Source organism: Homo sapiens, chromosome 9 (genome assembly GCF_000001405.40).
Source record: "Homo sapiens chromosome 9, GRCh38.p14 Primary Assembly".
NCBI classification, from domain to species: Eukaryota; Metazoa; Chordata; class Mammalia; order Primates; family Hominidae; genus Homo; species Homo sapiens.
In genome coordinates, this window is record NC_000009.12 from 93,457,228 (window position 1) to 93,484,736 (window position 27,509).

At 40.1% G+C, this 27,509-nt stretch overlaps 1 protein-coding gene across 15 annotated transcripts in view, besides 5 other annotated features; it reads left to right on the forward strand.

Moving 5' to 3' along the window:
* The window catches only part of FAM120A (family with sequence similarity 120 member A), a 114,428-nt gene that overhangs the window by 5,543 nt on the left and 81,376 nt on the right, over positions 1-27,509 (forward strand). For all 15 annotated transcript variants that reach the window (NM_001439102.1, XM_011518413.3, NM_001439104.1 and 12 more), the window contains exons 2-3: positions 13,914-14,160; positions 19,029-19,111. In NM_001439102.1, the coding sequence (NP_001426031.1) occupies positions 13,914-14,160; positions 19,029-19,111 (330 nt within the window). The remainder of the gene's footprint in view (positions 1-13,913; positions 14,161-19,028; positions 19,112-27,509) is intronic.
* Positions 3,348-3,847: an enhancer, noted in NCBI's record as "H3K4me1 hESC enhancer chr9:96222857-96223356 (GRCh37/hg19 assembly coordinates)". NCBI's record gives its function as "activates a minimal SCP1, AML or CMV promoter by ChIP-STARR-seq in primed H9 embryonic stem cells {active_cell/tissue: H9 hESC(primed)}" and the evidence as "EXISTENCE:reporter gene assay evidence [ECO:0000049][PMID:30033119]".
* Positions 9,415-9,981: an enhancer, noted in NCBI's record as "H3K27ac-H3K4me1 hESC enhancer chr9:96228924-96229490 (GRCh37/hg19 assembly coordinates)". NCBI's record gives its function as "activates a minimal SCP1, AML or CMV promoter by ChIP-STARR-seq in naive H9 embryonic stem cells {active_cell/tissue: H9 hESC(naive)}" and the evidence as "EXISTENCE:reporter gene assay evidence [ECO:0000049][PMID:30033119]".
* Positions 12,020-12,079: an enhancer, noted in NCBI's record as "active region_28622". NCBI's record gives its function as "activates an Ori minimal core promoter by ATAC-STARR-seq in GM12878 lymphoblastoid cells {active_cell/tissue: GM12878}" and the evidence as "EXISTENCE:reporter gene assay evidence [ECO:0000049][PMID:35858748]".
* Positions 12,160-12,209: an enhancer, noted in NCBI's record as "active region_28623". NCBI's record gives its function as "activates an Ori minimal core promoter by ATAC-STARR-seq in GM12878 lymphoblastoid cells {active_cell/tissue: GM12878}" and the evidence as "EXISTENCE:reporter gene assay evidence [ECO:0000049][PMID:35858748]".
* Positions 25,298-25,798: an enhancer, noted in NCBI's record as "H3K27ac hESC enhancer chr9:96244807-96245307 (GRCh37/hg19 assembly coordinates)". NCBI's record gives its function as "activates a minimal SCP1, AML or CMV promoter by ChIP-STARR-seq in primed H9 embryonic stem cells {active_cell/tissue: H9 hESC(primed)}" and the evidence as "EXISTENCE:reporter gene assay evidence [ECO:0000049][PMID:30033119]".

The window sequence follows — 27,509 nt, forward strand, 5'->3', positions numbered from 1 at the left end:
TCCTGCTTTCAGTTCTTTTGGGTATATACTCAGAAGTAGGATTGCTGGGTCATATGGTAATTCTGTTTTTCTTTTTAAGGAATGGCCATATATTTTCCACAGTGGCTGTGTAGGCCATATATTTTATGTCATAAGTTATATAATATATATTATTATAATATAGTTCCATTTTTTCACATTAATGTGATTGCACTATACGTTATTCAGCAGTTTGCTTTTTTATTTGTAAGAAATCTTTCCATGTCTATACTTAGAGCTCTAAGTCTTTTCAGTCCCTAAATAGTATTCCATAATTTATCCAACCCCGACAGATGGTATACACATGATATATACACACAGTAGAGCTAAAGGTATGCACATTTTAAAAGCCACGTAGGACCATAGAGTCAACATTACCAGAACTTCAGACTTTGCAAGAAAGCCAGAAACCCAGATTTTTAAAAAAATTATTCCATTTTAAAAATGCCAAGCGAAGGAAAACTTGGTTCTAAGTTAGCTTCAGCTCTTGTGCCACCAATTTGTTATTTGAGCACTGATCTTTATCAACAATTATCATGGTCATCTAAATCTCTTCCTTTTTTTTTTTTTTACTTTAAAATTAAACCTATCAAAAACCACTCTGTCTTTTCCTGTCTGCCTCCTTGAACCTTTTTCAATGATCAAAATGCTTCCATTTCCTGGGGTTACTGCAATATGATGTTTCCTTAAATGCCACAATCCTCTTGGCCACTTCCATAGTATATTCTTCATTATATACTTCTCAATATTACATATTTTGAGGTGAGTGCTAACCCACATGTTTATTTGACATCTCACCATTTCCAAGGCACAGCCTCACTGTCCTCAAACACTTCAGCACCTGGTTTTACATTCTTATATATTATTTATACTGTGTCCCATCAACACAGACACTGACTCTTCACCTCTCTCATCTGGCATCCTGATTCTGCAACTGGAGTGAATTTCTAATTGCACTTTAGATACTCCAGAGCTTGGACCGTATAATTAGTGAGAAAAGTGACCCCACCTTTAACACTTCTGAACGCTGTGTCCCTGTCACTCCTTGCCGCTCCCACCGTCTGTCCCCTGCTTGCCTTCCGCCATTTCTCTTTTCCCATTCTGTTGGCTTCCTTTTTAGCTGTAACTAGCTTGAACTTCATGATCATTCACTTCAGAGTTACACCCTCTACCACCATAGAGTCATGCTTGGTATTCCAGCATCCCATCCTCCCAGTCCCTAGAATAATGACACACCAGGCCAATTCTGGCTCAGTAGTCTCCTACTTAACTGTTATACTCTTCCTTTTTTCCAGTACCCCCAACATTTGAATTCACCATATTTATCCAAAAGGTCGAAGAAATGCTTTGCAAACCCTTCAGTGGGTTGTGAAACCAAATTATTGGATGTTTGCCATTACTTAAAAATAACGGAGTAAAATAGAATGAAAAATAGAATGCAAGGCATATACTATAGGTAAATTCCATGTCATTACACTTTTGTATTACTGTGGGTAGCAGTAAGAATGGCCTCTGCACCTACCCCCGCGCCCCAGTGGAACTAATCTTGCACAGCTTTGGCAGGGTAGACGGCCACATCTTCAGGGAGGTCACTCTCCTGTTGGGACTTGAACAAAACCATTAAGTCCAAATTCCTTATTCAGACTTGTAGACCTTCCTGCGACCTGAACTCATTTGACCTTACTTAATGTTTCACAATCCCTCTACTGTACTTTTTAAAATGTTCCCAACCCAACTGGTCACTATTTCCCCAAGAAATATCCAGTTTCTGCTTATGTCATTCCCTCTTGTTTAACTACTGTACTGTGTCCTACTTTTGCTCATCAAAATTTTACTTACACTTCAAAGCCCATGTCAAATGCCAGCCTTCTTCATGGAATCTCTTGATATTTGAAAAAGTGGACTGGGAATACACACACAGCATGGTGTATGTTTGCAGTGGACATTCTAGTCTGTTGTATTGCACCTACCTGCATAACTGCATATTTACCTCCCCCAGCCACCCGTAGGCTCCTTGAGGCCAGGGACTGTTTTACTCCTCTTGTACCCCATTATGCTTAGCATAGGCACTCAACTCTAATCAGAATATTTGCTGCATTCCATTATATAGCCAGACAAATTAAATTATTTCAAAATCTGGATCAATGGCCATTACTTAAGTTTTGTTTTGTTTTTTTAATCTTAAATTTCTCATACTCTCTTTTCTGACTGGTTCCCAATGGTGATTGATTCTCCTTTCAGCAAATGTTTGAGCACCTGTTAATGCCCAGGCCTGGAGGAGTGAACAGAACAGGAAAGGAAGGAAACCTTCAGGGAGCCTATAGCCTCTGGGTTGAGGAGGTTCATTTAAATCCTTTTTTTCTTGTTTGGAACTTTCTTTAATACTGTAGAACAATATGTTTACTCAGTGAAGACCTGTGAGTGGCTCTCAAGTAGGGTTGACAGTTGAGACATTTGGCAGGGGACATTTGGCAGTGCCTGGAGGCATTTTTGGTTGTCACAGCTGGGGGAGGATGTTAACTGAAGGCATCTATTGGGTGGAGGCCAAGGATGCTGCCAAACATTCTACAGTGCACAGAACAGCCCCCATAGCAAAGAATAATGTGGCCTAAAATACCAGTAGTGCCAAGGTAAGGAAATCTTGGTATGAGCAAATCAAAGAATTATAAGCTTTATGCCTTTGTAAAGTCATATAAATGTTTGCGATAGAGATGTCCAAGTACACCAGGAAGAAAGTAATCAAAACTACAACTTAATTTTCTGAATCAAAATACACGCAGGTATACTTCCTCCTATGTCTAACATGTTTAGATCGACATTGTTCTTCATTTTAGTTTTCTGAAATTTATATGAATAGGAAGAAACTAATTAACACATATTACACATTCCAACCTTAATAAGCACTACACCATAGGAATAAATGTCAAATATCGCGTAACATGAAGAAGAGAGATTTTAGGATTTGAAAACTTAGACTACTTTCCAGTAGATTTATAGGCAGAATTTTCTAAATAAAACAGGCATTTAAATGAATCACAGTTCAGATAAAAATATTCTTAAATTATCTAAATGTCTCCATATAGTTCATCGTTTATTTCCTTTTCGCTTTTTTTTGAGATGAAGTCTCACTCTGTTGCCCAACCTGGAGTGCAGTGACACAATCTCAGCTGACTGCAACCTCCACCTCCCAGGTTCAAGTGATTGTCCTGCCTCAGCCTCCCAAGTAGCTGGGATTACAGGCACGCCATGCCCAGCTAATTTTTGTATTTTTAGTAGAGACAGGGTTTCACTATGTTGGCCAGGCTGGTCTCGGACTCCTGACCTCGTGATCCACCCGCCCTGGCCTCCCAAAGTGCTGGGATTACAGGCATTAGCCACTATGCCTGGCCCTATTTTTGCTTATTTTTATGTTTTCTCTAGAAGTAAATCTGATGAAGACCTTGCCTGTTATCCAGCTCTTAGAGCGATGCTTGGTGTGTAGTACATGCTCAGAAAATATTTGATAAATGGATATGAATCACCAGTTACAGGCAAGGAAGTGTGATGGCAGAAAGATGGTAGGAAGCAGAAGTTTTAAAGTCCCCCTAGAGTTAATTCCAAAATCACTGGTGTCAGCTTGGCCACCTGGTGCAGAGCTTTTATCTTTGAGTAAACCTTTTATGCTTCTTAACTTAGGAGATGTGTTGAGGGCATAAAATGGGTGACTGCTTCAGGAAATGGGCTGCATTTAGCCACCTTTCCTCTTGTTACACCTGGCTTTATCACACATTGTTTCTAGGCATCTTAGGGGACAGTGTAAAAGAGTTGAACTTGACCCACTGCAGTATTTGTAGAGGTGATGGTCAATCTGCATTATGGAGTTTAGGATCTGTGATTTAGAAACGGTACTTTTATGCGCCAGTCATTTGGCATTTCTCAGTTGTCTCTGGAATCAATTAACTTTCTTGAAAGGATGAATTTACCATGTTGGTGTTTTACTGGTTAGTGCAGGAAAGTATACTAGAGGGTTTATTGCTGGAGGGTTGACTTCACAGGTCTGAAGTACATCATTCATCCTCTGAGGTAGAGCACATTTATGAATAGTAGTAACAAGCCAGCCCAGACTGTTGGAGGGGGTCACTAGACTCCATGGATGAGGTGTTTTAATTTCCTGGACCTATGAAGAGTTTGCAAGTGTTACTATCTTGAAATAAATAGTATCAACCTGTGGTTCTTTTTCCTAAATTATGAAAATTGAAATTTTATGTTTTAGATTTTGGAATGGTATTTTAATAAGAATGATATTACTAGGATTTAGCTGAGTCATTAGATTACTAGAGTAGGCTAAATAGATTCTGAATACAAATAATGTGTGTGTTTCTTCCTTTTATCATTGTATTTTTTTATTTTTAAAGTTTGTAAAGTTTAATTTGCATTTCTTTTATGACATCACTCCTTTATTATTATTAATATTTTTAGAGGGAAAAATCAAGCAGTTTTATAATTCGAACATCCCAAATCTGAAATGCTCCAAAATTCAAAACTTTTTGAGCACCAGCATGATGCACAAAGGAAATGCTCACTGGAGCATTTTGGATTTTTGATTTTTGAATTTAGAATGTTCAACTGGTAAGCATAATAACAAATATTCCAAAACTTGAAAAAGCCTGAAATCCAAAACACTTCTTGTCTTAAGTGTTTCAGTAAAGGACACCTAACCTGTATTATTGAATAACCATTGAACCAGACTGTGATCACATCACAAGCAGTGTGTGCTAAAGAGATTGCGAAAGCCAAAAAGAAGTGTCACCCTTTGATACAGCCTGGCAGATACAAACTATTACATACATCCTAATTGTCGTTAATCAAAGGAAAAGGAAAACTCTGCCTTTTTACAAGTAGGAAGTTAATTTTGGAGCCAAAGCACCTAGGCCTTCTGAGAAGACAGGGAGATACCCTTCTTTTTATTATTATTGTTTCTTAAAATTGTGGTAAAATACACCTAACATAAAATTTACCAATTTAACCATTTTTAAATGTACAGTTCAGTGGCATTAAGTATATATATTTTTTTGAGATGGAGTCTCGCTCTGTCACCAAGGCTGTAGCGCAGTAGCGTGATCTCAGCCCACTGCAACCTCTGCCTCCCGGGTGCAAGCAGTTCTGCCTCAGCCTCCTGAGTAGCTGGGATTACAGGCGTGCGCCTGCCACCACACCCAGCTAATTTTTGTATTTTTAGTAGAGACAGGGTTTCACCATCTTGGCCAGGCTGGTCTTGAACTCCTGACCTCAAGTGACCCACCACCCTTGGCCTCCCAAAGTACTGAGATTATAGGTGTGAGCCACCACGCCTGTCCCCGGTGGCATTAAGTATATTCACATTGTTGTATAACCATCACCACCATCCATTCCCAGAATTTTTTCCTCATCCCAAACTGGAACTGTGTACCCACTAAACTGTAATTCCCCATTTCTTCCATGCCCCAGCTCCTGGTAACCACCATTCTCCTCTCTGTCTCTGAAGTTGTCTACCCTATGAGCCTCATATAATGAGATCGTATAGTATATGTAATTTTGTGTCTGGTTTATTGCATTTAACACAATGTCTTCAAGGTTCATACATGTTGTAACGTGTCAGAATTTCCTCCTTAAGGCTCAATAACATTCTGTTGTATTGGATAGACCACATTTTGTTTATCCATTCATCAGTGGGTGGACACTTGGGTTTCATCCTTTTTGTCATTGTAAATGGTGCTGCTGTGAACATGAATGTACCGACATCTCTTCGGACCCATTTTTTCAACCTGGAAGTGTAATTGCTGTATCTTAGGGTAGTTCTGCGTTCAGTTTTTTGAGGAATCACCATACGATTTCCCAAGAGGCCACGCTGTTTTACATTCCCACCAGCAATGCACAAGGAATCTGTTTTTCTCCATATATTCTTGTTGACATTTGTTATTTTCTTTTTTTTAAAAAAATAGTAGCCATCCTAATGGGTGTGAGGTATTCAGTGTCTCATTGTGGTTTTGATTTATATTTCTGTAATAATGAGTGAAGTTGAGCATCTTTTCATGTCCCACTCCCTTATTTTAAGAAATGTTTTTCCTTGTTTTTAAGATCACTGTACCCAATTCTCATTTATTCTAAATGAGATATATAAGATAAGCTTATTCAGCTATGATTTCAGCTTACCTGAAGAGAGAGATTTCTTTTTAGAGGCATTGCTGCTATGTGTCATAACATTTAAATTGCCCTTTAAACAGCAACAAAAATCTGCCACCAAATTGGAGTTGACTTTTTTTAATGTTCTTATTCTTCAGTTGGACTAGAGTAGGGAACAGAAGCTTCAGTGTTAGTTTTTCCCATTTCATACCTATTGACTGCCCATTGGGAAGAGGCTGAAGACTGCCTTTTTGGTAGTTGTTTTTTAAAACAAAATAATTTAGGTGGACCTATACGCTCTTATGTCAGGTTGTTTTATATCTTCTAAATCAGCTAGCTGGCTGGAGGATGTGTCACATTGTTCCCTGAACTGGTGTAAAATTATTCTGAAGAAAAACCACATTAACGGTATGTTTTCCTAGTGTCAGAAAATGTATGTATGAGAACCCATAGTGTTTCAGGTCCTGTGTGAAAAGTATAAAGAAACCTTTTTACATAGCTTCCTTAAAAGTACATAGTAACTGACATTTGTCAAGCGCTTATTATTTGTGAATGCTTCTGAGCTGTTTACATGTAGTATATTTAATCATCGCAGCTACCCTATGAGATAGAGGAATACTATTATTCTTACAGATGAGGAAATGGAAGTACAGAAAGTATTAAAGTAGGCAGTGGAGTTCACCTACCTGGTGCCAGAGACACAAACCTCATTGTAGAGTGTTTTTTCACTGGAAACTAGGAGTAAGTAACAGTGTCAAGTTTTTCTTCTTATGGGGTCTTCCTGTAGCTGTGTTTCAGAATTAATAAACAATTATACTTGCCAAGTAAGTTTGGGAGTTTTTAAGTCATTATTCTTTGTAAAAGTCCTGAGTTTTGATATATCTGCCTTTTTAATGATGAAATGTAAAACTACTGAGATAAAAAGATTTACCTAGGTATATTTGGTAAATTTATAGTGGCATAAAGTTATCATTGTAAATCGAAGTACAGAGTACTTTCTTGAGACCAGAAACGGGCCCTTTTGCCACTTCTTAAACTTGTCAACACTAATGACACCTACCATATTTCTTGGGGAGGGGGTAGACAGGGAGGAAGAAGCTGAGAAGTGTTGTGATTCCCATCCTGGCTGCCCCAGGTTAGAGTGTTGTATTGGACACTAGCCCCCTCATCACTTCACAAGAGCTGAAGCCTAATGCTCCTCGGGGTTGTTTACAGAAGGAGTTTTAGAGTTTCACTTCCTTGATCTTGAAGCCTGCATTTTGATAGAGTGGAAATGGTAGCCATGACAAAAATTAATCAAGGCCTGGTGCTTTTAAAATGGCAGATACTTTCAGTGGCTACTAGCCTGGGACTTTCAGCAAGGAGGCAGCTCATAGTTCGAAGTCTGATTTACCTCTGGTGGATGACTTTACCCCCTTTGAAGGGCTACCTGTAAGTAAGTGTTTTCAGGGCTTAATTTTTTACGTCATTTTGTTCTTCGAGGGGGTTCAAAATCAAATAATCTGAACATTGCGTTTAATAGTTTTAACCCACTTCTGAAATTAACATTAAGAACTAGAAGTACACATTTCATTGTATTATGCCCAGTCCAAGCCAGGCATTGGAAGGCCAGGGAAGAGAAGAAGCAGATAAATAAGAGTGAGAGAGTAGCTTAGTATAGGAGAAGGGAAAACAGGAAGGAGCTTCAGAAGACCAGATGAACAGCAGGGGAGCTCAAGTCTGTCAGACCAAAGCTTCAGCCCAGTACTTAACGTTTATTCTTAATTAAATAACTGCCTTGTAAGTTATTTTGATGCAACCCAGAATCTTTTTTCCATTCCCACCCAAACCTTGCATTGTATTGTCTTTTTACCCCTGCTCATATCCTTGATCAGATTTTTAACCAGGCTTTCCTTGACTTAAATCTTAAGGAATTGTTTATTGGGCCTCTTACGAATATTCTTAGTAGTTTGACTGCATTTATTCACTCATAAATTAATTGGTAACCAAATTCCATACTTTGTAGGTTTTCTTGTTTCTTTCAACTGGACTACCTGTGGGAAGATTTCTGTTTTTATATAATAGGCTTTTTGAAACTTGCCTTTAGGCCAGGATTTATTTTTCACGTGCCTGTTATACTTTGTTCATCTAATAAAGTGGTTTGAAATAGTCTTTCAGCTGATGTATTGTCTTCTAGAATATTGACTCTTTTTTTTTAGAAAAATAAACTTATTTGGAATAATTTTATAGAAAATTTACAAAGATAGTACAGACTTCCCAAATATCCCTCACTCAGCTTCCAGGGAATGTTCACTTCCTGCTAGCTGGCACAGTGATCTAAACCAAGAAAATACCCTTGGTAGACTACTGTGAACTTCATTATGGACTTCATTTGGATTTCATCTGTTTCCCACCAGTGTCCTTTTCTGTTCCGGGACCCTGGTCAGGACCTCTAGTGTCCTCCATCCCCTGTCTTCTGGGGCAGCTTTTCTGTTTGTCTTTGGTGATCTTGACACTTCTGAGGAGTACTAATCAGGTGTTTTATAGAATGTCCCCGATTTGGGTTTGTCTGATGCTTTCTCTATATTAAATTATGGCTGTGTGTTTGGGAAAAGAATAGCCCAGAGGTGCAGGGCGCTTCTCAGCACCCCACATGGCACGTGGCATTGACTCGGCTTAGCACTGGATGACGCTGACCTTGGTTGCTTGGGTAAGGAGCTCTCTGTGGGTGTTTGCTCTGCAGTGACCAGTTTTCCTTTCGCTTATTTATAACATCCTCATACTTTGGAAGCAGTAGATGAGTCCAGTCCACATTCAAAGGGGATAGGGTTAAACTCTACCTACTGGGGGGAAAATTGTATGGTATTATTTGAATTCTTCTGTAGGGAAAATGTGTCTCTTCCCCCTTCATTTAATCATTTATTTATATCATTATGGGCTCCTGTCCTCTTTTTATAGGGTCATAACTAATTCATTTGGGGTTATATCCAGTTCTGCCTTATCCTTGCTTGCATTGTCCTGGCTCTGGCTTTGGGAGCTCTCTTGGGTTGGCCCGTGTGACACATGCCATCCTTTTGTTTTGGGAGTGCTTCCTTGCTTTCTGGACCTACGAGATGCTTTAGGTGCACCTTGTGTTTTCCTGCTCCAGTGTCAGCTGTTTCCAAAGAGAAGCCCCGGTTCTTTGTTATGGAGAAGGTGCCTGGAAACCTTGGTCTGGGCACTGGTGGGGTCCTGCTGCTGGGGTGTCTCTGTGTCTAGGCCCTCATAGCTGACAGCTACAGGTGCTACTGCTGCTTGGGGGTCCGTGTAAGGAGATCTGTGTGAACACCAGATCTTCCATTGTTTCTGTACCCACCTATGTGTGTATTTTCACCTGAACACCGGTTCTCACTGATGTCTCATGGCTAATGCAGCACCATGAGGTTCATTCTAGCCTTCTCCTTTTGCATGATTATTTGTAGTTTCTTTCTCTGACAGTGAGGACCTGGCTCATACGGCATTTGCTTTAACCCTAGTGTTCCTGCAAAGTAATTTCAGAATTGTTAACACAGATTCTGGGAGGCATACTTACACAAGTCGAGTGCACTGTTTCCCAGGTACTCAGGCAGTTCCTTTTCCCCAACCAGTTTCAGTGAGGCTATTTCATACATTTTATAATACAATTTTATAGATTTGTCAGTCTGCATTCTATCCTGGCATCCCCTGACACCCAGGTTGATTTGTTTTTTCATTTGCATACATTAAAGTTTATTCTGTGTGATGTACAATTGTATGAGTTTCGACAAATGCTGAGTCATCTTGTTGCTACCACCCCTAGGCAATCGACTTTGAACTCTTTCATTCAGAGTTTTTTGTGATTTTCTTTGCCAGATCTGCTGTCACCCCCCCCCCCCTTTTCCCCCATTGAATAACTGTGGAACCACACTTCCATTATTCACCCATGGAAAAGGACATCCTCTCTGTTACTCTTGTGGTTTTTAATGCCAGGTTGCATTTCCTCAGATAAAAGCACAATTAATTTTAACGAGAGGGAAGAGTTCTAGAATTTTAGAAGTTGAAGGAATGTAGAGATCTGAGATTTTACATTGGTTGTTGGGGAGGTTGTCCTGGCAGGTTGGGTATCTGGGGCAGAGCTGGAGCGTAGACTCCGATTTCCCTCCCCCCGACCCTCTTTACTCAGGAGACTTGGGATAGGAAAGATGGACTGAGGCCAGGTTGGGAGTGGTCCTACCTTTGCTGCAGGTGTGAAGCTGTGTTCATGGGTGTGGTCCTTTATCTTTTGTTTTAGGACACAAATTCTAGCAGTCAGATGTTTGTTTAATGCTCTGTCTGGTTTTGGGAAGGATTATGGTATGGTTAATCATTTGCAAATTAGAGTTGTACTGAATTATTGTTTGCTTTTTAATGCCAATCTAAAGTCAAGTGTTCTCAGTGAATAGGTAATTCTGTTATGGGTGGAGGAAGGAGGTAATTATGAAAAGCCCCACATGCCACCTTTGTTTTTTTGTATTTTTTTTGGTTTCTTTTTTTTTTGAGACGGAGTTTCGCTCTTGTCGCCCAGGCTGGAGTGCAGTGGTGTGATCTTGACTCACTGCAACCTCTGCCTCCCAGGTTCAAGAGATTCTCCTGCCTCAGCCTCCCGGGTAGCTGGGATTATAGGCGCCCGCCACCACGCCTGGCTAATTTTTTTGTATTTTTAGTAGAGTCGGGGTTTCACCATTTTGGCCAGGCTAGTCTCACACTCCTTGACCTCAGGTGATCACCCACCTTAGCCTCCCAAAGTGCTGGGATTACAGGTGTGAGCCACTGCGCCCGGCTACCACCTTTGTTTTATGAGGTTCTACTGCATATTGGCCTGTACTGGATAGACTGTATCTTACTAGTTTTAATTTGCTAATTTAAGGAATCTTTGGGGAACCATGAAATGCAACACCAAACTGGGGCAGTTTTTAATTTTTTTTGGTGCTTGCTGGCTGCCAGCACCAAGCTAGACCCTTGACGTGAAGATGCGTAAGCTGTGCCCCTTGTCCTGTTGGAGAGACATATATGTAAAAGAACGGTAGTTTGTCCAAAGTGCTGTAGCAGAGAGGTGACCAGAGTGTAGGTATGGTTTATAATAGTACTTCTTCAGCTTTTCATTAGGTTTTTTTCTTTTAAAAGAGGATTTTTAAGGCATAATTCCACCACTCTGATTACAACTATGTTGACCTTTGCCTTTTTCTTTCCAGCCTTTTACCACAAAGTTTTACATAGTTGGGTATATATGATATTGTATTCTGAAATGCTTTTGTTTAATACTTTATCCTAAGCTTTTTCTGTTTCTCCACAGTACAGCGTAGTGGCTGTGTCTATCTCCGTAATTTATTTTTTTCCCTTAGGAGTCTACCGTGATCCTTTTTATGCTTCTAATGTTTTTTATTTAGTGAATTAGTTTCTTAGGCTCTATTTCCTGGAGTGAGGTTACCGGGTTAAAGAGTGTGAACGTTTTACAGCTCTTGAAATATATTGCCTGCTGTTTTACAATACTGACAGCATTACTTGAAAGCTGCCAGATTAGACCTGATCCCTGCTACTCTCAGACTTCATCATCCCCCGCTTTTCCTCTTGATCCCAGGATTGGAACACAGTGGGTCCCTCTGCCCAGGCAACAGGCCAGGCTCATTTCCTGACCTTTCTAGGTCCCCTGCCCATGCTGCATGGATACTCTTCCTTGGAGGTCCTGCCCAGGGCCAGCCCCTCCTTTCAGGTCTTGGTTAGAAAGCCTCTTCTTGTGAGATGGCTTTGCTTCCACCGTGGGCCAGCAGCCCCTTCTCACCCAGGCATTGTTCACCACCCTGTGAAGCTGGGAGATGAGTGCTGGCTGTCTCTGAACTCCCTGCTGATGGAGGTGGGCAGGGCTGGGCTCTCACCTCCTTTTAGCCTCTGTTTTAGTTCTGCCCAGCTTCCTTCCCAACATGTGTGAATCTAAGGAACAAGCTGACTTTTCTAGATCTCCTTGGAGGAGTGAAGGAGGGTGAGCCAAGAAGGGAGTGGTCACTTACTGTCTCCTTTCATTTTCGTGTCTCTTAATAGAGTGTACAGACTTAACTATTAAAGATGTCTGGAAAAAAGCCAGTAATTTCTAATGATTTTAAAATAGTTTAAAAATCACTGTAAATGTAAAGTTGTACATAATAAAAAGATTTGAGGTAAAGAACTTGGATTAGAAATTACCATTTCTAGAAGTGAGAGGATGAAGCAGGCCTAATTTTGGATTTAAAAAAAATCTATTCTATTTTAGCTGGTATACAGTGTTTTTAGATTGAGGGATAAAACAGCATTTCTTATTCTAAAGAATAGAATGTTATTTGACTGATTGGATGTTGTTTGGTTTTTTTCTTATTAAGTAAAATGTTTTTATGGAAATGTTTACCGAGAATTCAGAAAGTAATTTCTTCTTTTACGTATGCATCTTGAAAAGGTTTGCTTTGCCTCTCAGTGAGATTTCATTATAGCTAACCTTCCAACAAAATGTGGCGACTGCTTTTATTATGAAAGTTGGTGAGAAGTGAGGTCCATTCTACAGTGATGTCCAGTAGAATTTTCTGACGTAGTGAGAATGTTCTGTGCTGTCCAATTAGTATGTTAGCTTCTGGTCTCCTGTGACCACTGAATACTTGAACTTAATTTTGAATTTAATTTAATATAAACTTTCTCTCAATGTAGCCACACATTGGACAGTAGTTTTAAAAACTTGGGGTTAAGGGTGGCACACATTTTTCTCCTCCAAGGCCCTGTGGAGAGTTAATACTCCATTGTTATTGGAATCACCTAATTTAGTTTAAAATTCTGTTCTCAAAATTACCTTATCCATTGTAGAAACGAAAAACCTGCCAGAATTTTAGTTGGATTAATGAGTATGTGAAACAGCAGGAGAGAATTTGGTGGTCTTGGACTGTAAATCATTTAGAACATTTTTTCCAGGTGTTTTGGTATATTTTTTGGACTAGAGAGAGCCCAGAGGACTTTGACTTCTCAAAGGTGTTGCTTCTCTGCTTGCTCCTTCGTGTGTTGTGGAAATCCGAGGTATTGTGGATGTTACATTGGGGATTCAGTAGAAGTAAAGAGGGTGTCTTAGATTTTTTCATCATTGAAAAGGCAATTGATATAGACCTAGTCTTGACATAGTGTGTGGGACATAGAATAAGCCTGTGGCAGTTACATTGAGGGTGAACGTGTGCATCCTTGTATGGTCTCCACGTGTGGGAGGCCTTAGGAGGATAAGAACTGGTTGACAGGTAGGCCGAGGGATCATACTTTTATTTTATTTTTTAAATTCTGATGATTTCACCTGACACATTTGATCTACTTTGAAGAAATTGTTTTGATTTCATTGACAGTGGGTGGCTTCTTTCTGTCTCCTTTCTCACAGAACTCTTTATTTTCTTGTGTCTTTCTCCCCCTCTCTTTCTTGAAAATACTGTCATGGGGTCAGCTGGCTTTGTGTATTTTCAAGCAAGGTGATCTTTGAGCTTGACAAGAATTGAAAATTGATTTACAGTCTAGATGGGATCATAAGTTACTGACAGGAGATGATTTAAATGCGATTTCCCACAGAAATTTCTTAGTGGAGCAATGTGTTGCAAACTTTATTATGGCATTTTTTTGACTGTTTGGCTTTCACGGATAGTTTTCATAAATGTGATTTTTCAGCTTCTGTGCAAACATTTCTGCTTATTGAGCTTGTTGCTACAGTGTTACCCTACATCTGATGAAGTTTTTTTCTCGTTTGCCAGGTTGCACAGAGCATTGAGGATCACCATCAGGAAGTGATTGGTTTCTGCAGAGAGAATGGTTTCCATGGCTTGGTTGCGTATGACTCTGATTATGCACTGTGCAACATCCCCTACTATTTCAGTGCCCATGCCCTAAAACTGAGCCGGAACGGGAAAAGTCTCACCACAAGCCAATATCTGATGCATGAAGTTGCCAAGCAACTGGACCTGAATCCAAATCGTTTTCCTATTTTTGCTGCTCTCTTAGGTAGGTGGAGCAGTGTGAAAATATTTTATAAGGGAGTGACCATATGATAAGCACATTGATCTTTTAAGTGTTTCTGTGCTTGAATGTTTTGGATATGTATCACACATTGAAAAGAACCAAGGCGTGGGCTCTTCCTTAGCATTCCTTGCTTCGTATTATTTTTTGGCATAGCTAATGTGCTACTTTTGTTCTTAAGTGTTTGTTGAGGTATTGTTCTATCCAGGAATTGTTCAGATTAATTTTGTGAAAAAACTCATTTAAGGTTTTGGAAAACTAACATTCTAAATCACAGATGTCAACACATGGTCACTATGTAAATTAGACATTTAAACCTTTGACATAAATTATGTTTATAGTAGAAGAAAATATGCTATGGGGTTAGAATGGTTATGTTTTCACCTCATTTTCGGGATACTCACTACTTTAAAAGAGAAACAAAAATAAGCTATCGTAGCTTGTTTCCAACACCTACATTTTAAGTAAATGTATACATGTCTTTAAAAAATTTCCTTGGAGGAATTCCTTATGCTGAATACCCAGAAAGGATGAAATCTTGTTTTAACTATGACATTAGATTTTAATTTTCTTTAATTAAAAATAATTCCCCCACGCCTGTAATCCCAGCACTTTGGGAGGCCAAGGTGGGCAGCTCACCTGAGGTCAGGAGTTTGAGACCAGCCTGGCCAACATGGTGAAACCCTGTATTTACTAAAAATACAAAAATTAGCCGGGCATGGTGGTGGGCGCCTATAATCCTAGCTACTTGGGAGGCTGAGGCACAAGAATGGCTTGAACCAGGGAGGTGGAGGTTGCAGTGATCCAAGATCGTGCCACTGCACTCCAGCCTGGGAGACAGAGTGAGACTTTGTCTCCAAAAAAAAAAAAATTCCCAAGAAGTAATATATTTGTCTGTCACTTTATATTTGCATTGTGTGTTTTCTTTCTTTGCTCTTTTGTCAGCTACCCTTTCTTATGCTTTCATTGTGCTTGTCTCACCCTACTTTAATATCCAGCTCTAGTTTACTTAGTTTATAAGAATTGTGTCCAAATATAAGTAAACATGTTTTGGAGGGAGGCACTCCTGTGATTAGAATCCATGAATCTGATGGGATTTGGGGCTGTTTTGGACACACAAGGCCAGTTTGGGAAGCTGTGTGGTCTCTAGTGCTCAGTTACTGTGCTCCCTTGCAGTATATATTCTATAGAGGCTAGCAGTCCAATCCAGTCCTGTTCAAGAGGGGATTATATTGTGGATTATTTTTAGAAATGCCTAGTTATCAGAAAGATTTTTATAAACATTCCAAAACAGTTTTACACAACTAGAAATTGTAAGGAGTCACAATTTATTTTTATTTTTTTGGAGGGACTGGTTCTTTATTTCAAAGAGACACTTTTCAATATTCAGTATCAAAACGATTGCGCTATTGATTTCTATTTCTCCCAATCGGTCTCAAAGGAGAGTACATTTTAAGTCAATAAGTTGTAGGATGTATACCAACAGACCTCCTAGAAACCTTACCAGAAAATGGGGACTGGGCAGGGAAAGATTAACTTTAAAAGATCAGCAAACTGCCAGCCCATGGGCTGCAGAGGCTATGCTTTTCAAGTTTTCATCGTTAAGATATCTTTGGACAATTTTTTTTTTTTTTAAATGGAGTCTTGCTTTGTTGCCCAGGCTGGAGTACAGTAGTGTGATCTTGGGTCACTGCAACCTCCACCTGCATGGTTCAAGCAGTTCTCATGCCTCAGCCTCCTGAAAGCTGGGATTACAGGCGCCCACCACCACGCCCGGTTAATTTTTATATTTTTAGTAGAGACAGGGTTTCACCATGTTGGCCAGGCTGGTCTTGAACTCCTGAGCTCAAGCAATCCACCCACCTCTGTCTTTGCTGGGATTACAGGTGTGAGCTACCGCGCCCAGCCTTTTTTTGTTGTTGAAACAGGTTTTTACTCTGTTGCCTAGAGTGGAGTGCAGTGGTGCAATCTCGGCTCACTGCAACCTCCACCTCCCAGGCTCAAGTGATCCTCCCATCTCAACTTCCCAAGTAGTTGGGACTACAGGTGCATGCCACCACATCCGGCTAAAGTTTTTTGTGTGTTTTTGGTTGAGACAGGGTTTCATCATGTTGGCCAGGCCGGTCTCCAACTCCTGAGCTCAGGGCGATCCACCTGCCTGAGCCTCCCAAAGTGCTGGGATTACAGGCATGAGCCATTGCGCCTGGCCACATAATTTTTTATATGTTATTTTGTGAAAGCATTTCATGTTTTACTATATGAGTCAGTCAACAAAATTGTGATTTCACAACTTGTGTTTGTTTGGATCTAATCTCAAATACAGTGCTTAGTAAGGGAACTCTTGTGCCTTTGGGGATTTGGGGATTAAAACGAATCTTTTAAATATATTTTCAAATATTAAAATATAAAAGGATATTTCCTCTGATGTTAAAAGTGAGTATGGGGGTGGCACATTATATGGAAAGTTCCATGTTTGCTTAAATGCTATGTAAAATAACTTGGCATATTAATTGACTTTGAATGTGAAAATCATATGCTCTTAGAATATGGATGCCTTAGCTCATTTGAAAAATGGAAGAATACTTGTTTATCTTGTTTAAGAAACATTGAATATGGTATTTGGAAGATGATGCCAACTGATACTTTTCTAGCTTGTTAGTTTGTGAAGTTTTGAAATAAATGAAAAAATCAATTGCAATATGTTGTCAATTTAATTTAGGGCTTGCAATCTCTTCAAAAAGTTTAGTGAAGTTATAGGTAAGCTCCTAAGTTTTTGTTGTTGTTGTTGTTGTTGTTGTTTTTTGAGATGGAGTCTCTCTCTGTTGCCTAGGCTGGAGTGCAGTGGTGCGATCTTGGCTCACTGCAACCTCTGTCTCCCAGGTTCAAGCGATTCTCATGCCTCAGCCTCCCGAGTAGCTGGGATTACAGGTGTGTGCCACCGCACCTGGCTAATTTTCACCACGTTGGCCAGGCTGGAAAAGTTTCACTGTGCTCAAATGAGAAAGCTTATTTTTCTTTTCCCTTCTGTAATGGAAAGTATAGCTATATAAAGTATTTTGTTTTAGGAATGTTGGAATATTCATTTAAGTATTTCACCCCCCAATTTTTCACAGGGACTGTTACTAATGTTGGAGTTGCCTTAATATTATTTCGAATTGAAGCTTCCAAAATTTCGGACACTTCGTTCTTTTTTTGTTTGTTTGTTTTTTGAGACAGAGTCTTGCTCTGTCGCCCAGGCTGGAGTGCAGTGGCATGATCTCGCCTCACTGCAAGCTCCGCCTCCCAGGTTCACACCATTCTCCCACCTCAGCCTCCCGAGTAGCTGGGACTACAGGCAACCGCCACCACTCCCTGCTAATTTTTTGTATTTTTAGTAGAGATGGGGTTTCACCGTGTTAGCCAGGATGGTCTCGATCTCCTGACCTCATGATCCGCCCACCTTGGCTTCCCAAAGTGCTGGGATTATAGGTGTGAGCCACCGTGCCCGGCCAGACACTTCATTCTTCACCGTGAAATTCTATGCAATCCATTAACGGGAAAACAATATCAAGCCAGCAAACCTGAGCAGTTACGGTTCAGATTTGCTCATTTGGACATCACGGGAGTTCAGTACCTCTGGCTTGTGTGTTTGTGTGTTTGGAATACAGGTGGAGTGTCCCTTATCTGAAATGCTTAGGACCAGAAGTATTTTAGAGTATTTGCATATGCCTAATGAAGTATCTTAAAGATGGGACCCAAGTCAGCATGAAAGTCATTTATGTTTCATATATACCTTATACACATAGTTTAAAGGTAATTTTGTAAAACATTTTAAATAATTTTGTGCAGGAAACAACATTTTGACCGCCTTTTGACTGTGACCCATCTTATGAGCACAGGTGTGGAATTTTCCACTTGCATCATGTTGATGTTGAAAAAGTTTCAGATTTTACATCAGATTTTACAGACTTTACATCATTTTGGACTACGGATGCTCAACCTATATTATAACGTAGCAATATTCCAAATGGTCTTAGTTTGTGTTGCATTCTGTTAGTAGCAAATTAATGAATTTGCTATCATAATGTGGAGGTGATTAAGTAATGTTATAAAAATCATGGTTATTTAGGAAATTACTGCTTTGAGATTTCAATGAGATAGCTAACCTACTAAAGATCAGGTATACCAGGCATACGAACATTATTATGAAAGTAGAGTATTACCCCCAAATATAGTTTCTCAATTGAATACAGTTTTGTTTGTAGACTGTGACAGCACTGGTGATAGGATGAGCAGCTTAATGGCCTCATGAGTATTACTGTAGGATGGGCCTTTTCACATATGTTTGTGGGTGGTGATGGAAATTATGGGAGAAGGGTGTTGATTCATGTTACAATCAGCAGTCATTGTCATTTAATCTTGCTAAGAAAGGTTTTATAATTGTGCAGATTTCACATTTGGTGTTTTTATGTAATTTTGAACCGTAGCTATTTCATGAACAGATGAAAGCTTGAACCATAGTCATTTCATGAACAAATGAAAACTTGAATCTAATTGGTATTTGATATCCTGACATTGTCAGACTGACCTTTTGCAAACTGGTGTTTATTTTTAATACTGTGCTGTGAAGTTGTTTCAGTTTTATGCAGTTCTTAGGTTGAATGCTGTTGGGACTGCACTAGAAATTCCCGTCATTCTTGAAGCAGCTGCAAAGATTCTGCCTGCTGTATGTCGCTTTATGTTAAGAGATGAAGATTTGTTCTCAGTTTCTGTTTGAAAGTTTTCTACTATAGGTGACAATATGCAGCACTTTTGAAAGTTTCCCTATGTTACTTAAGATGATTGCTTTTATGTTATCCATGTTTATATTCCAGGAAATCACATTCTGCCTGATGAAGATCTGGCTTCCTTTCACTGGAGTTTACTTGGTCCAGAACATCCACTAGCCTCACTAAAGGTACAAATTTCACTTTATTTTTCTAGCATTTGTAATAATCAACTGTGAGTTTGCTATTACTTTAATAACATGTTAGGCCCTTTATTGGTGATGCTACAAAGTTAGCAATACCATGTTTTCCCATAATTTCAGGATCTGCACTGCCTTAAAAAGCAAGCAACAATGCTACCATCCCTTGTTCTCAACACCTATATGTTAGGTAAATGTATAAATGTCCTTGAAAATTTCCCTTAAGGAATTCTTTGTGCTGTGTACCTAGATAGAAGGAAATCTTTGAGCTGATGTTTTATATATTAATTTTCTTACTTAAAAATTTTAATTTTGTCTTTAGGTAGTATAGTTACTTGTCACTTAGAGCAACATCTTTGCATAGTTGATAAATTTCATAACTAATTTTCTACAATTATAAAATAGTTTATAAAGCTTTTTGGATGATGAGGGAGACTCAAATGGAAGTGATCCATTTGTACTATTTTATTAAAACTTAATATTCTTTTTCTCCCTTTTGATTCCCTTCCTGTTTGTGATAGTAATAAACATCAGAGATGAGGCACTTAATTCTGATTTTCTGCAGTGGAAGTGTCTGTGTTTGATGTGAGCATAGGAGTAATGAGTGAGATATGCACGAGGCACTGGAAAACTTCAGCTTGGACTTGTTAGTGACTCCTGTGATTGTAATGATCATTTGTCAGTTCAAGTGCCTTTCTTGACTTGGGGAATTAGGAAGATGGGGACCTAGACTTTGTATCTGCTTCCCACCCTGGGACTGCTTCCTTACAGTAAAGAGTGGCGGTTAAATTGGGTGTTTTCCGAAGGGCTGTAAAATTTTGAATGTTGTCGTAATTACCCTCCCTCCATAAACAATTTTAATTGGTGGCTAGTTTCAAATGGGAGTTTTTCTTCCTACATTTTAATTTACCTTTAACTCTGGTGATACCCAAAAGCTGAAGTAGAATTCCTTTCCTCCTTTCATTTTGTTCCCTGCTGTTTCATCTCTGGCATGCTTTTTCTTTTTCATCTCTGGCATGCTATAAAATGTTCTCCTTTTCACCCTAATGGGGTTTGGTATGGACTGTTTTCAACTTCTTGTTCAAAAATTAGTTTTTCTTCTCTTGTTAGAAATTACATTTCTGGCCATAGAATCCCTCCTGTATGTTTTCATGAATGAAGTGATGTGATCTGTCATTCGGACTCTAAGCTTCTGGTGATGCCATGATTGAAATGTGGATTGGGGAAATGCAGCGTGTAATCAGCTGGACTTAAGAGCACTGCACCTGTGCTCAGTAGCTCTGTTAAGCATTATGCTTTTGTAAGTGAGACACAAATGAAAGCTTGTTTCCTACAAGATTTATTTTGTTTTGAAGAGCAGGAGTGAGATACTCCCAAGGTTTCTGGCTATATGTGTATGTCTAAGTTAAACTAGCCCTGCTTCATATGTCACAGGGTTAGAAGTGAAGAGCTGTTTGAAGAATTATTGGAAAACCAGCTCAATCTATTGCCAAGTGAATAACATCATTATATGTGTGTTTTTCCTAAATTTTGTTGAGAAAATCTTTAAGTATTGAAATGTGGAAAGAATAGAGAAATGTGTATCCGTATATCCCCCATCTTGGTTCAACAATTATAAACATTTTGCCATAAAGTATATGTCTGTGTTTTGTTTTGTTTAACAAAAACTATTTGGAAGTAAGTTGCAGATATGACACTTTACCCATGAAAATGTCAGCTTGCTCCACCACTTCAGCTTGCTCCATCACTTCCTAAAAATAAGGACATTTTGATACTTTATCATATTACTCCTATGACATCAACTAAATTAATAATTCTTTAATATCTTTTTTTTTGAGACAGGGTCTTGCTCTGTCACCTGTGCTGGAGTGCAGTGTCTAATATCATTTAATATTAAGCCCATATTCAAATTTTTTCAGAGTCATTTATAGGTTTTTTTTTTTTTGATCGAGATCCAGTCAAGCTTTATGCATGCATTTTGATATTAGCTGAGTACTTTTATGGCATATTGGAGAAGAAATCCTAAATTATTTTTCAGATGACTTGATACGTTGTAGGATTTTAAAGTCACACATGAAATGCAAGTGCACCTGGTTTTGAGATAAGTTCAGAAATTGCATTTGTTAGCCACTTTAATGTTTTTATTTGAGACAGAGTCTTGCTCTGTCACCCAGGATGGAGTACAGGGGTGAGATCTCGGCTCACTGCAACCTCTGCCTCCAGGGTTCAAGTGATTCTCCTGCCTCAGCCTTCCAAGTAGCTGGGATTACAGGCGCCTGCCACCACGCCAGCTAATTTTTGTGTTTTTAGTAGAGGCAGGGTTTCACCATGTTGTCCATATTCGTCTCGAACACCTGACCTCAGGTGATCCACCCACCTTGGCCTCCCAAAGTGCTGGGATTATAGGTGTGAGCCACAGCACCCGGCTCACTTTAATGTTTTGACCCTTCATTCACATTTTTGTATGCAGCACCATTTCAGTGATTTTAATATACATAGGGGAAATTGGATGTGGTTTTACTCCCCATGAGCATGACTGATGGATGTGCTACAGAATTGTATGTATCCCACCTGCTATTTTAGTCTCTTTGTTTTTCCCCAGTTGTAAAACCAATTGCATCTTTTGAAAATTTGGATAGTTGTTACATATCTTCCATAATATTCTGAGTTTTATTTTCTGAAATATTCTTTGTGTTTTTGTATTATGTTGAAATGATGAGAGGTTTAAGATTAGGGTATTGCATTTTTTTTTTTTTTTTTTTTTTTTTTGAGACGGAGTCTCGCTCTGTCGCCCAGGCTGGAGTGCAGTGGCGGGATCTCGGCTCACTGCAAGCTCCGCCTCCCGGTTTCATGCCATTCTCCTGCCTCAGCCTCCCAAGTAGCTGGGACTACAGGCGCCCGCCACTACGCCCGGCTAATTTTTTGTATTTTTAGTAGAGACGGGGTTTCACCGTTTTAGCTGGGATGGTCTCGATCTCCTGACCTCGTGATCCGCCCGCCTCGGCCTCCCAAAGTAGGGTATTGCATTTTAAGAGGTGCTTTGAATTGATTAGATATTAACTTCATAGAACACCAGCCCTCTGTGAACAATAATAAATTTGGCTTTGGCAAAATAGTACAAATATAATATGATAAAAGGGATGGACCAAGGAGGCTTAAGCTTGAGGATGCAAAGTCACGTGTCCTTAACAGCTATTTTTCCAGTATACTCTGTTAGAAAGGGAACCAATAAAAATCATGAGAAAATTTCATCTTTTTACCATCTGATGAAAATCACAAAATACCATGGATAGGAAGTCATCAGTAGTCGATAATTTATGTGATTCCAAATCTTCAGTATGTTGGCAGCACTATGAATTTTTGTTTTCTTTATAAGTAGCATCCTTAGACTCATCTTTTAAACATGTGTCTTTACCAATTTCACTACATGCATTCATTCATTCACTGTAAATTTTTAACTCTCTGACTGTCATCGAACCAGCTACATCAGTTAGAAATTGTGAAGTCCTCCCTGACTGTCCACAGCCCTGGTTGTGTTGAAAGAATAGCACGTCTGCTTTGGGGCTCTGCGGGCTCAGAAGCACAAGGGAGAACAACTGTTAAATCATTGGGTAATATCTGCAGAGAGGAAAGCTAGGATGGGAGCCAAATTCTGTTTTGTCCTGCCTTATTAGTTAGTAGTAGATCGTGCTTATTACTAGATTATGAATGCAATGTTAGACATACTCAGAACCTAAAATTGGTAGAAGACAGTAGGAAATAGGATGTAAGGTGACTTCTTCATACCTCAATGGTAACCTTAAGAGCTGCTAGTAAGGTGGGCATTGAATTTCTTAGGTTTAGATGCAAAGACTACTTCATTTATGTTCAGAACACTTGGGCCATTTCATGTAACATGTAAAATTGTAGGATGGGGTTAGGGGTCAGATAGCTTCTAAGATGTGGTCAATTCTATAATGAGAGAAAGAAAACAAGAGTTATGTGTTACTCCCTATTCCTCGGGAGACCTGCTGTTGGGATTCCTTGCTGCAGTCCCGGAGATGCCTGGAGGCTGGGCTGGAGTGCGACCTCTGTCTCTACCCAGGCCCAGGTCCTGCAGAACAGGGAGCCTGGCAGCAGATGATACAGAGCAGGCTGGGCCAGGATGGGTAAAACCCCAGGGCTGCACAGACACCCAAGCCTGAGGCTGCGTTTATCTTACTTTGCTCTAAGTAAGTTACTCTGTTTGATTGGAAACATAAGAGAATCTTTTATGTACCTGGAAGAGTTGAGATACACTCCTGGAATGCCTCCCAAACAATGGGGAAGGCATTCCAGGAGTGCATCTCATTTCCTCGCTCATTTAAACTTTTTCCAATGGCAATATTTCTTAAAAGGGTCATATCTTTAATAAGGAAAATACATTGAATATCCTTTCAATGTGTTTTTGGACTCAGTGTTATAATTAGGAAGATTTGTGATTGTATTTACAGTAATGAAAAGTGGGCTGGATGCATATTGGTCTTTCGAAGAGGCTCCCACTGTTTGTGTTGCTCTGGGCCGCTGTGCTCCTTTCATGGTTTTAGTGTGGCTGGCAGTGTTGCATGAGAGAAATGGAAGGCGTCAGGCAGCCTGGTACCCAGAGAGCTGAGCCTGCAGAGCATGGGCTCCAGTCCCAAGCCCAGCCTCTGTTTCCCTTCAGGTGGTGCCCCCATGCCTGCCTCCTCCTGTGCCCTGGGAGTGGCTGGCCATTCGGTCTGCCTGGACATAAGGTTTAGTGAGCCTGTGGGTGCCCTGCATAGCTGGTGTGGCCTGTACTCATCAGAGGCGGCCTGCGGCTGTGGCAGTCCACCCTGGGCAGGGCCCCCTGGCTGTAGACATGTGCTAAGTGAGCAGTTTTTCAAAATGTGACTTTTGGGGTTTTAAAAATTGTATGATTTTGTGTCCTAACTGGTTACGGGAATTTTTTATTTTGGGTGGGCATTTTGTTGTTTTAATTTTTAAAAATGTTTTATAGATGTTTGCTGGCTTTATTTTTTTAAAAAAACATGTTTCTTGTTGCCTCTGGTTTTCTTGAATCTTGGGTTTTTAAACACTTTACAGAAGGCTTTTTGTCACTTGGGTGTTCTACATCCTATTGACCTCGTATTTGGGTATAATAACATTTAAGTTGGACCTGTTTAGTTTCAGGTCATTGTATTCATTTTAGTGGTTTTTGTGTTCCTTAACTTCATATTCAATTTCATATATTTTGAGTTTCCATCCATGCCAGTTGTTTGTGATGGCCAAGTATTCCCAACCACTGAGCCCTTCGAGCTCCTTTTGCCTCCTTGTCTGGGACACCCCAGCTTGCAGATTTTATATGGACTGATCCTTTCCTGAGACTTCACTACCAGCAGTTCTACTTTCTAGTTAGGTTTAGTCGGTTTTACTCTGTTTACACTGCAGTTCCCAGTCTTTTTGAAAGACCCCTTTTCTGCATGGTGAGCCTCCCCTAGAAGTACTTGTCCTCCCCCAGCCCTTTCTGACCCCATCAGCTGGTTATCCTAGGGCCAGGCTGGGTCCTGGGCCAGGCTGCACCCTCATTCATGGAACGCCATCTTCTCTGTATGATCCTCTCTTGGAGCTTCCCCTAAAGTACTCTTCTTGCTTTCTTCTACATCATCTTAGGAGCTCCCTCTAATTCCTAGCCCTGGCATTTCTTCCTTTTGATTTAAATGTCTTTGTGTATTTATCACCTTACCACTCTGATTCACTTATTTTGGTAATCTTTTACCAGCATTATCTTTCCCTGAGGCACCCGTATACCGGGGGCAATCTATCAGGCTGTATCAAGAAAACTTTTAGATTCACCTCCATTTTTTTTTTTTTTTTTTTGGGAGACGGAGTTTTGCTCCCTTGCCCAGGTTGGAGTGCAGTGGTGCGATCTCAGCTCACTGCAGCCTCTGCCTCCCGAGTTCAAGCAATTCTCCTGCCTCAGCCTACCTAGTAGCTGGGACTACAGGTACACGCTGTTGCCACATCCAGCTAATTTTTTGTATTTTAGTAGAGACGGGATTTCACCTTGTTGCCCAGGCTGGTGTCAAACCCCTGAGCTCACGCAATCCGCCTGCCTCAGCCTGCCAAAGTGCTAAGATTATAGGCGTGAGCCACTGTGCCTGGCCATTCACCTCGAATTTTTCCCAGGGGTATCTTTAACTATATTTTTTATATCTTATTGTCTTCAACCAGAAGTCATTGAGTGGTACTTTTAAAACATGTCCTTTAGGGCCAGCAGTTGGGTCTGGCTCTGAGAGAGTAGTGAGGAGGGTAGCATCAGGATCTCCAGGAGCAACGATGGTAGGGCCGTCAGTCTGGCCTTCTTATCGCAGGGACTGTGTCACCTCCAGGGTTGGAACACACAGCAGACCCCACAGTGGGCCAGTCTAGTAGACTGGCCCTTTGAGACAAAGAGGAACTGAACAGTCCTCTCTCTTGGGCTTCCCAGATGGACACCTGGGTGGCTGTTGCAGCTGCTGCCCAGCCTGTGGTCCTAGTGACCGCTGTGCATGGTGCCTGTCTCTGGACTAGGGCTAGAGGTCCCAGTAGGTCTCATGCAGTGCCTGGAGCCAGCTTTTGTCCGAGAAGAGCTGTAGCATTTCAGGCACTTTGAGGCTTCATTGTGTGTGGCATTTACCACGTAACCTTGCTGGAGCTAGGTCAGTGATCAGATGACTTGATCTTTCTGAAATCTTTTTTTAAAAAATTAAGTTGGGTATAAACTGTAAATAAATAGAAAGATGAACTTCGTTTATTTCTGACTTTCACCTATATTGTCATAGCAGGAGGGGGTAGTTCTGAATTCTGTGAACCCTCCAAAGAAGGAATTTCTCCTTACATGTTAGTGTTAATTGAAGTTCACTTCATATATTTTTTTCTTAATAAGTCGTTATATTATAATAGTTTAGTAAGAGCTAAGAAAAACTTCCTAAAATCTAAGTACTTATTTAGCTTTAGAAAATATAATATTAGGGGCCTGAAAGGTAAGTAAATTTAAAACATTCTTCTGTTTGTTTGTTTTTTTTTTAAACATAGTCTATTGGGGAAAAAAAGAGAGACAGGCAAGATGACGTAGTTTGACTGAACCCTCTGATTTTGTTAATCTTTGTAGTCTTCATATTTCTGTTGCATTTTTACTGTTTTAGATAGAAGCCTATGTTATCTTTTTAAAAATTCATTTTTATTATAAAAATAATAAGAAACAATTTAATCAGTACAGAAATATGTCATGTGAAAATGAAAGGTACTTATAATCCCACTTCTCGGAGATAACCACTTTAGACAGATTGATATTTGATCCTTCGAAGTGTAATAAAAATGTCTGTCTTGCTAGTGGTGCTCATCATTGTCACCATCATCATGCATGTGACATTAGCTAAATGTTCTTAATGGTTAATGTATACAGATTCATTGTACTGGATTTTAAGCTTTTAAGTCTTGAAAACCTGCATTTAATAAGAAATTTGTTATTTGCTCCTTTTAATTTATATGTGGAGTTGTTAAATGAAATAATTTAAAATACAAACTGAACTCAAAAGGATTTCTGCTTGTTCATATCTTCCAGTCTGTGTCCTCTATTGCCTGTTTGTTTTAAAATAAAACTGGAAAGCTTAGAATTCTGAGGAATCTGCTGGAATCTCTTGGGGCTCAAGAATAGTTTTTCTGTGTCTCTCTTTTTTTTTTTTTAAGAGACAGGGTCTTGCTCTGTTGCTCAGGCTGGATGGAGTGCAGTGGCTGTTCACAGGTGTGATCATGTGCAGTACAGACGCAAACTCCTGGGCTCAAGTGATTCTCCTTCTCCTGCCTCAGCCTCCCAAGTAGCTGGGACTACAGGTGTGCGCCACCACACCCAGCTTCTGTCTTTTATTCACAGATTAGGAGTAGGTCTCCAGTCATATTGCTGGGAAGAAAGGGATACAAGTTGTGGGAGGTTTATGCTCCTTCCTTGTTACAGGATTGCTTTTAGTTTGGCTCCTCCCATGGAGTGAGTGGGACTGCCAAGCAGGATTCTTCCTGATTGACCTGGAATGGACGACCCTGCCAGCAGGAGCAGGAACAGAGGCCAGCAAGGGAAAGACAAGACACAGTCTGAGTGGGATCTGAAAGATACCGTGTTGGTAGTGCTGGCACTTACGGTATCTCTGGGAGAGAACTAGAGTAGAGCAAGCAAAGAGAAGCTCAGCAATAGTGTCTTTGCTAACTGTGCTTTATTATTATTATTATTTTAAGACAGAGTCTTGCTCTGTCACCCAGGCTGGAGTGCAGTGGCATGATCTTGGCTTACTGCAACCTCTGCTTCTTGGGTTCAAGTGATTCTCCTGCCTCAGCCTCCCAAGTAGCTGGGACTACAGGCGTGTGCCACCACGCCTGG